Consider the following 9533-nt stretch of genomic DNA (forward strand, 5'->3'; position numbering starts at 1 on the left):
ATCTCTCACCTTATATAAGAATCAATTCAAGATGGATCAAATATTTAAATCTAAGACCTGAAACTATAAAAATTCTAGAGGATATCATCAGAGAAACCCCGCTAGACATTGGCTTATGCAAAGACTTCACGACCAAGAACCCAAAAGCAAAAGTAGCAAAAACAAAAATAAATAGATGGGACTTAATTAAACTAAAAAGCTTCTGCACAGCAAAATAAATAATCAGCAAAGAAAATAGACAACCCACAGAGTGGGAGAAAATACTCACAAACTATGCATCCAACAAAGGACTAATATCCAGAGTCTGTAAGGAACTCAAACAAATTAGCAAGAAATAAACTAACAATCTCATCAAAAAGGGGGCTAAGCACATGAAGAGACAATTCACAAAAGATACACAAATGGCCAGCAAACATATGAACAAATGCTCAGCATCACTAATTATAAGGAAAATGCAAATCAAAACCACAATGTGATACCACCTTACTCCTGCAAGAATGACCATAATTAAAAAATCAAAAAATAATTGATGGTGGCATGGATATGGTGAAAAGAGAACATGTTTACACTGCTGGTGGGAATGTAAACTACTACGACTACTATAGGAAACAGTGTGGAGATTCCTTAAAGAACTAAAAGTAGATCTACCATTTGATCCAGCATTCCCACTATTGGGTATCTACCCAGAGGAAAAGGAGTCATTATACAAAAAACAAACAAACAACAACAACAAAAAAACACTTTCACACGCATGTTTATAGCAGCACAATTTGCAATTGCAAAAATAGCCAGCCCAAATGCCCATCAATTGAGTGGATAAAGAAAATGATCTCTCTCTCTCTCTCTCTCTCTATATATATATATGCCATAGAAAGTATCTATCTATCTACATGCACACACACGCACACACACACACAAAAATACACATGGAAATACTACTCAGCCATAAAAAGGAATGAAATAATGGCATGTGCGCAACCTGAATGTAACTGGAGACCATTATTCTTTTTTTTTTTTTGAGACTGAGTCTCGCTCTGTCTCCCAGGCTGGAGTGCAGCGGCGCGATCTCGGCTCACTGCAAGCTCCGCCTCCTGGGTTCCCGCCATTCTCCTGCCTCAGCCTCCAGAGTAGCTGGGACTACAGGCGCCCGCCACCACGCCCGGCTAATTTTTTTTGTATTTTTTAGTAGAGACAGGGTTTCACCGTGTTCGCCAGGATGAACTGGAGACCATTATTCTGTGTGAAGTAAGTCAGTAATGGAAAACCAAACATCGTATATTGTCACTTATACGTGGGAGCTAAGCTATGAGAATGCAAAGACATAAGAATGACACAATGGACTTTGACGACTCAGAGGGAAGAGTGGGAGGGGGCCAAGGGATAAAAGACTACACATTGGGTACAGTGTACACTGCTTGGGTAACGGGTGCACCAAAATCTCAGAAATAATCACTAAAGTACTTAACCAGGTAACTAAACACCATCTGTTACCCCCAAAAAATAGAAAAAAAAGAATCTATATATGAATACACACACACACACACATAAGCACACAAGTCTCACATGGTACATCAAAATCTTAATAGTGTTTATTTTTGGATAGTAATAACAAATTACTTATAACAATTTTTCCTTTGTTTATCTGTACTGATCGATTTTCAAAAATATGCATGTATTATTTGTGCTATAAATAATATAATTATGAAATAAAAGCTTTAAAAATAAATCAAAAACAATTTCAGTCTCACAAGGAAAAGGTATAAATATGAAAAACTTCGATAATAGATATACAACATATTTTTTGCTTTCTATTTTACCTGTTACAAAAGGAAAATGTAGAAAAGGATATTTTAGTAGAATTTCTATATAAATCATAAAAATTAGTTAAGTTTTGATAATCCACTTTCATAACTAGGTCAAAATATCACTGATTTCAAGTCCTGGCTCTTCACATAGCAGCAGAAGTTATCCCCTGGGAAAAAAGTCAATCTTGTTTCTCTTCTGGTAGAAATTTATTCATAGCTATCTTTTGTATCTTAATTAGAAAGTAAACTACTTTGTATGGCCTATAAAATGTTTTATAATCCTCACTTTTTCTGTTGACACAAGCACTGTCTTCTACCAATAGCCTTGTCTTAGCAGGAATCATTCTATGTCTCTTTTGTAAAACTCCTCCTTCCACCTTTGATACCTGATCATCCTTGATATCTGCTCATATTTCTTCATCCCACCCTTGATGTATATGTCCTTTGCCTGCCTATCTCAAGAATCTTGTTGGGTCAGTTTAGTAAGAATTGTCCTACCCTTGATGTCCCCTCTTAGTAATTTTCCATCCACTGACCCCATTGCATTGCTCCCTGGCTTCAGATCCCCAGCGATCTTTACTTTAGATTAAGTTTGAATTGAGCCCAATCCCTCAAAGTTCTTCTTGCCAATTTTAAGAAGTGTCAGAATATTTTTTTCTTTAACACCATGTACCCATTTTCTGCCTATTTCATTATTCTTCTCACGCCATATATTCTAGCTATACTACTAGATGTAACTTTCTCTAACATACATCAGTGTTGTCATTTGAGATATGGTGAACATGCTGATTCCCCTTGTGTTACTTTCTGACCCATTCTTCTGGTGACAAGGTTCTTCTTAAAATTGGCCTTTCACCTTCAAAGTCTGTTAATTAGAGTCATTTTCAGACAATCCTTTATAAACTCCATCCCAAGCCTCCTGTCAGTCCTACATATTGTTTTTATTTCTGTGTCTGATTTTTGCTTGCTTTGATCACAACATTAATAACAGCGTTTTGCTAATGGGTCTTTTTCACTGTGGATATCATTCACTGTGATATTCATAAAGTATATTGTCCAGTAGATAGCATATTTCAGATTACACAGCTAGTGATTAATAGATACTGTCAAGAAATCTAACAGGACTCAGATTTTATCCTGCTTGAAGCCTAACAAGTTAATACGCCCCAGTTTCATGGATGCTAGCATAAGACAAAGACTCTGGAGGTAGAGCAAAGGACATCATTGCAGCAGAGCACAGCAAATATCATGCACCTCCTATTCTTATCAGTTCCCCTTATTCCCCAAGAACCATAGGGGAAAGATACATGGTAAGCCCAGATGGCATTCCCAGATGCACCCAGATTGTATATAAAGTGTACTTCCTTGACAGAGAGAAATAATTATCTTCGAGAATGCAAGTCTTCTAGGTTGGACATTTTAACTGTGCACTTGGCTAGTTTATTTTGAAGATATATCTTATTTTATTACACATATGAGGTTTTTGCTAGAAATGATATATTATTATAAAAATTTTTTAGAATCTGTGAAAATTTGAGTGAAGGAACAATCTGGTTTTCCCTCATGTTTTATCTGGAAAGACTTAAAACACACCAAGGCCAAATTGGAAACTAAGTCGAATGGTTAAGATACCATATTATAAATATGGAGATCTTAAATAGAAAATTAAATAAGCTGTTAAGGTACTGGTAATCAATGGGTGTTTAAGACCTCGGAAATTATTTTAAGTATATGATTTTATAATCAAATGTTTCTTGAAGAATAAAAGGACCTCCATCTTTAATGTTTTTCTGTCTCTTACATATGGGTATAATCCTGTCTGTTTTTACATTCATTATTGAGACTTCTTAATTTATTCAGTATGAACACACATTTTATTTAGTACCATAATATATTTTTTAAGTAATGTGTTTTTAGTTTAGTCATGTTAAAATATTATTGAGTATATTTTAAACAATGGTTTTTTATATGATTTTGAAATATTGACAGCAGTATAAAATTAATTTTTTAAGTATGTGTTCTATGGAGGAAAAAATACAGGATAAAAGCAATTTCACATTTTCAATAAGTGCTTTTATTTCTTATTTATTTCTAATAAAATAAAGCATAAAATAAATCTTATACTTCTGAAAAAGTAACTTTCTAAACACATTATCAAGGTAAAAACATAAAATAGTTTAGTAAAGGATTCTTTTTTATTTTTCAGATTTGTTAAATATATAAACCATATGATTAGAGTGTAAATTCTTCGTTATAATTTCATAAACACATGTCTAAAAATGATTTACATCAATTTCTCATTATTCATAGAATTAAAATTGTAGCAATAATTAAAAAGTAAAAACTAAACAAACAATAGGACCAATAACAATAAAGCAATATTCTCTCTTACTCTGATACCAGTCTGATGAACATTACCTGCAGATTTTGAATGAAAAAACAATAGCTGGGAAAGTATATGATTTGATGAAAAAAATATTTTTTAAAAGAGAGTAGCTCAGAATCAGTACTTTGTAGGTATAGTATACTCCATACCATCATCTTTCTATCAAAATTATATTCTAAATAGATGAGTCTGCAATGCTTGAAAAAGCTGTCAGTATTTTACTATCTGAGACATAAAATCTCATCAAGTTCTAAAGGAAGACAGTATAATTTAGCTACTTGCAATGTATCACCCCTATTATACAATATGCATTTAAAAAATACTGGACATCTACTGAAGGAGGATAACATAATGCATAGCTTTATTTTTTAACTGTCAACAAATTCAATATGAGCCAGATGTTGGAAACAGCAGATAAAAATGCTAAGATGTCTATTGTAAATATATTCATGATCCTAAAGCAAAAGCTTGACCTAAAATGAACATTTGGAAAATCATGGCAGAGAAATAGAAACCAAATGTAAATTATAGAACTAAACATGTAAAATTTCACTGGATCAACATTAACACAAAGTAAAGGTGGCACAAAAAGTAGTCAGTGACATTGAAGAGATAGCAAGATCAGTAATTTACACTAAAGAACATAGAGTTAAAAACAAATAAACAAAAAACCGGTTTTTAAAAATAAAAAGAATAAATAAGCAGAGCAGTGCCCTATTGGATAAAAATTAATAGGTATATTGCTTATATAATTGGAGTCTCTGAAAGAGATATAAATAATTAGGATTTCAGCCAGGCGTGGTGGCTCACGCCTGTAATCCCAGCACTTTGGGAGGCCGAGGCGGGCATATCAGGAGGTCAGAAGATCGAGACCATCCTGGCTAACACGGTGAAACCCCGTCTCTACTAAGAATACAAAAAATTAGCCAGGTGTGGTGGTCGGCGCCTGTAGTCCCAGCTACTCGGGAGACTGAGGCAGGAGAATGGCGTGAACCCGGGAGGCGGAGCTTGCAGGGAGCCGAGTTTGCGCCACTGCACTCCAGCCTGGGCGACAGAGCGAGACTCCGTCTCAAATAAACAAACAAACAAACAAACAAATTAGGATTTCAACAATTTAGTGTAAAGTTTAGATCATCAACATACAGATTCATCTAGATCAGAAAACTTCAGGATTTATGTAAGTAACAGCATATCTAGAAACTGCAGTGGCAAACTGGTAAAAAAAAAAATATAAAAGTAAAATATTAGACCCAAAAAGGGAAAGATAAATTACTTAGAAAGATGTAAGAGATGACTGATTCTTGATTAAGAATAATGGAGGTCAGAGTAGACAGTAAAATAAATTTCAAAAAACCTGAAACTACCATTATAACTTTAAACAAATAATTTCTGATAAAGTGAGAATATTCTTTAAAAATGGGTGTAATAAAGACTTTGTGATAACCACATGCTGAGAAAATATGCCACCAGTAGAACTGCATTATTAAAAATTGCTAAAGAAGCCTCTTTAGGTGAAAAGGAGCTGACACCAAATGGAAACTCAAATCTTCAGGATGACATAAAGAAAAACATAAATGTAAATACAGTTAATAACAACTTTCAAAATCATTACTTATACAGATTCCACTATATGATAACAATTGCAAAAAAGGGTGGTGCTTGGTAAAAGGCATTTTAATATTGTAAGTTTAATTTTTCAGGAAGTGGCATAATAATAATCCTACTTTGATAAAGTATGCATATTATAATACATGGAACAACAACTGTAAAAATCAATGTTGTAGTAAAAACGTAAATAATTGCATGTGAAGATTTTGACACGTACAGATAGCATACATTACTCCAAAAGAATGCTTTTAGAAAATCATTTTCTCCTTTAAGTTAATGTAAGTTCTCTCAAATTATCTGCTTTTGAATAAATATGTAACTATGCAGAGAGATACTCTGCCCACCAAAGGAATGCCATTCATCAGTTAGCTGCTGATTAGAGTGAGTAAGAGATATACTATTTGACAAAGCATGTTGATTTTATGACATCATTGAATCCCACCATGCAGCCAGTATGGTAACTAATGACTTTGATAAAGTGTTAAAGGAAAAAAAAAAGATTGAAGAGATTTGAATGAGTTGATTTTGGACCCAGGGCAGTAAAACAAACTTAAAAAAAAATTCCTCAATTTGAGAAATAAAAATGATTAAAATCAAATAAGAAATTCTTATTTTCATTTATTTCCACTTCATGTTTATTTTATTCCGCTGGCTATTGGAAATCAACTTGAACTAGGTTCTTTATTTAGTTACCAGTATCTGCAGTGTATATGCTTGTCTCTGAGGTGTTCTGCATTTCTGAATTATTTAGTGTTAAATAATACACAAGTTATGAGTTAGACTTTTTACTTGAATAAACAATTTTGTAAAAAAAAAATTAATGGCAAACTATAGCTTCAAAAGCTTGTTATAATTACAATTTTCTAAAATATACGTTTTAGGCTTCTGGAATTCCTAATATCACAAAACCAGTTAGTAGAATACAAACAGCTCAAATTCATGTCTTATTTTCAAAATAAATGCTACAAGGACATAAAAATGTTTGCATGTAGTTCAGGGAAATTTGGATGAAAATTTTATATATTACAAAACAAACTAAAAAGTAATGAATTAGCCATATAATTCACTAAAAAACATTTTAATGAACTTTGTAAATAATTATTTCAATTCTTTACTTCACTGAGAATGTGCAAACAAAATCCTAGGAGTAAGAAAGTGAAGATAACAAGTAATTGTGTAATATATACATCCATTCATAGATTTGAGAGTTTTACTTTTCTTAGCATATATAAACTGTTTGGTATTTTATTTCATATGCTAGCAAAATTTAAGTTTCTGGTTTTTATAAACTGGCTTATAAAAAGGCTCAGAAATTCCATGGACGTCAAATACCTTTTAAAACACTGTACTTTTAGGAACTGAGTGTAAACGAATCAAAACTGTATGGCTATCATTTCCTCCAAATGAAATGCACATGTTGGAAACACAAAAGAAGAAGTCCTGAACAGAACTCCTGTAAAAATAGCCTCTAGGTTTCTACAGTTGATCTGATTTTTTTCTGGTACTGAGAAAATACAGACCAACAGGGAGACCTGCTGCTGTTCTTCCTAGATTGAAGGTCTACTTGCTGAAGATTTAGGGAAATGGATGAAAATTTTTAGTAATTTCATTTCATCAAATTGCTTATCTTTATAGATTGTGCCTGTGTAAAACAAATGCTTCCAGCCATTTTCTTCTTTATAGTTAGAGTAGCTATAATCAGAACATGAAAAGAAATGTGTGGTGTGAGCACGATTTGGAGTGAGAAAGACATTTAGAATAAGATAGGCCCTCAATATTACTGGAAACAAAACTTTAATGAAAACTCTATTTAAAATTCTTCCTGTGGTAAATATGTTTCACTCTGTAAAATGAATGTCTATATACACATGCCCCTTAGTTTATTCCTTCCAAAATGAATGTTTATTTATTTTTGCTTTAGGTGCCTGTGCTTTTGAGGTCATATAAAAAAATCATTGCTCAGATCAGTGTCAATATATTTTTTTTTTGCTGTGGTTTCTTCTAATAGTTTTGAAGTTTCAGGTCTTATGTTAAGTCTTTAATCCATTTTGAGTGCATTTTTAAATATGGTTGGGAGATAATTGCCCAATTTCATTCTTCTGCATGTGGACAGACAGTTGTCTCAACACCACTATTGAACAGACTGTATTTCTCCATTGCATGGTCTTGGCTCATTTATTAAAGATCAACTGACTATATATATATGGATTTATTTCTGGGCTCTTCTACTCTATTGCATTGGTCTATATGCCTGTTTTTATGCCAGTACTATACTGTTTGATTAGCATAGCTTTATAGAGTGTTTTGAAATCAGCTAGTAGGATGCCTCCAGCTTTATTCTTTTTGCTCAAGACTGCTATGTCTTTTGGGGCCTCTTGTGATACTACATGAATTGTAGGATTTTTTTTTTCCTATTTCTATAAAATATGTTTTTAGAATTTTGATAGAAATTGCATTCGATCATTAGATTGCTTTGGGTAATATGGACATTTTAACAATACAAATTCTTCCAATCTGAGAACATGAGATAAATTCCCATTTGTTTCTGTCTTCAATTTATTTCATCAATGTTTTATAGTTTTTAGTGTACAGATCTTTCACATCATGGGTTAAATTTATTTATGAGTATTTTTATGCTGTTAATGAGACTTTTTCAATTTCTTTATTGTTACTGTGCAGAACACTATTGATTTTGGTATGTTAATTTGTATCCTGAAACTGAATTTGTTTACTAGTTCTAAAATTTTTTGATGGAGTCACATGTAAGATCAGGACATGTATAAACAGGGACAATTTAACCTTTTCCTTTCTAATTTGAGTAACTTTTATTTTTCTTGCACAACTACTCTGGCAAGTACATCTAACACTTTGTTGAATAGAAGTGGTGAAAGTGAGGGGCATTCGTGCCTTGGTCTTGATCTTGAAGAAAAGCTTTCAGCTTTCACCATTGAGTATTATGTTTAGCTGTGGGCTTGTCATATTTGGCCTTTATTATGTTGAAGTACATTCCTTCTAACCTAGTTTGTTGAGTAATTTTATCTTAAAATGATGTTGGATTTTGTCAATGCCTTTTCTGCATCCATTGAGATGACTGTATTATTTTTACTTTTCATTCTTTTAATGTGGTGTATCACATTTACTGATTTGCATATGTTGAACTCTCTTTGCGTCCTTGGAATAAATCCCACCTGATCATGTGTACGATTCTTTTAACGTGCTGTTGAATTTGGTTAGCCAGTAGTTAAGAATTTTTATATCCAAGTTCATCAGTAATATTAACCAGTCATTTTTTCTTGTAATGTCCTTGTTTGGCTTTGGTGTCAGGGTAATGCTGGCCACATAAAATGAGTTTTCAAGTGTTCCCTTTTCTCCAATTTATTGCAAGAGTTTGAGAAGGATTGGTGTTAATTCTTTAAAGGTTTGTTGGAATTCACCGTTGAAGGCATCAGGTCCTTGGCTTATTTTCTTGAGAATTTTTTGATTACCAATTCAATCTCTACTCATTCATTATTGGTCTGTTCAGATTTTCTGTTTCCTCATGATTCAGTCTTGAGAGGTTTTATGTTTCTAGGAATTTATCCATTCATTTTAGGTTATCAAATGTATTGGAATACAAGTGTTTATAGTAGCTCATTTTATTCTTGGTGTTTCTGCGGTATCAGTTGTAATATCTACCATAGCATCCCATTCTCAATTATAAGTATATTGTCTTTTATAATTGGGTTAGAATATAT

General features: G+C 32.7%; 1 annotated feature.

Annotated features, from left to right (window-relative positions):
* Positions 6038–6332: an enhancer, noted in NCBI's record as "tiled region #7103; HepG2 Activating non-DNase unmatched - State 24:Quies". NCBI's record gives its function as "activates a minimal TATA promoter and a strong SV40 promoter by Sharpr-MPRA in HepG2 cells {active_cell/tissue: HepG2}" and the evidence as "EXISTENCE:reporter gene assay evidence [ECO:0000049][PMID:27701403]".

Source organism: Homo sapiens, chromosome 13, assembly GCF_000001405.40.
Source record: "Homo sapiens chromosome 13, GRCh38.p14 Primary Assembly".
NCBI lineage: Eukaryota > Metazoa > Chordata > Mammalia > Primates > Hominidae > Homo > Homo sapiens.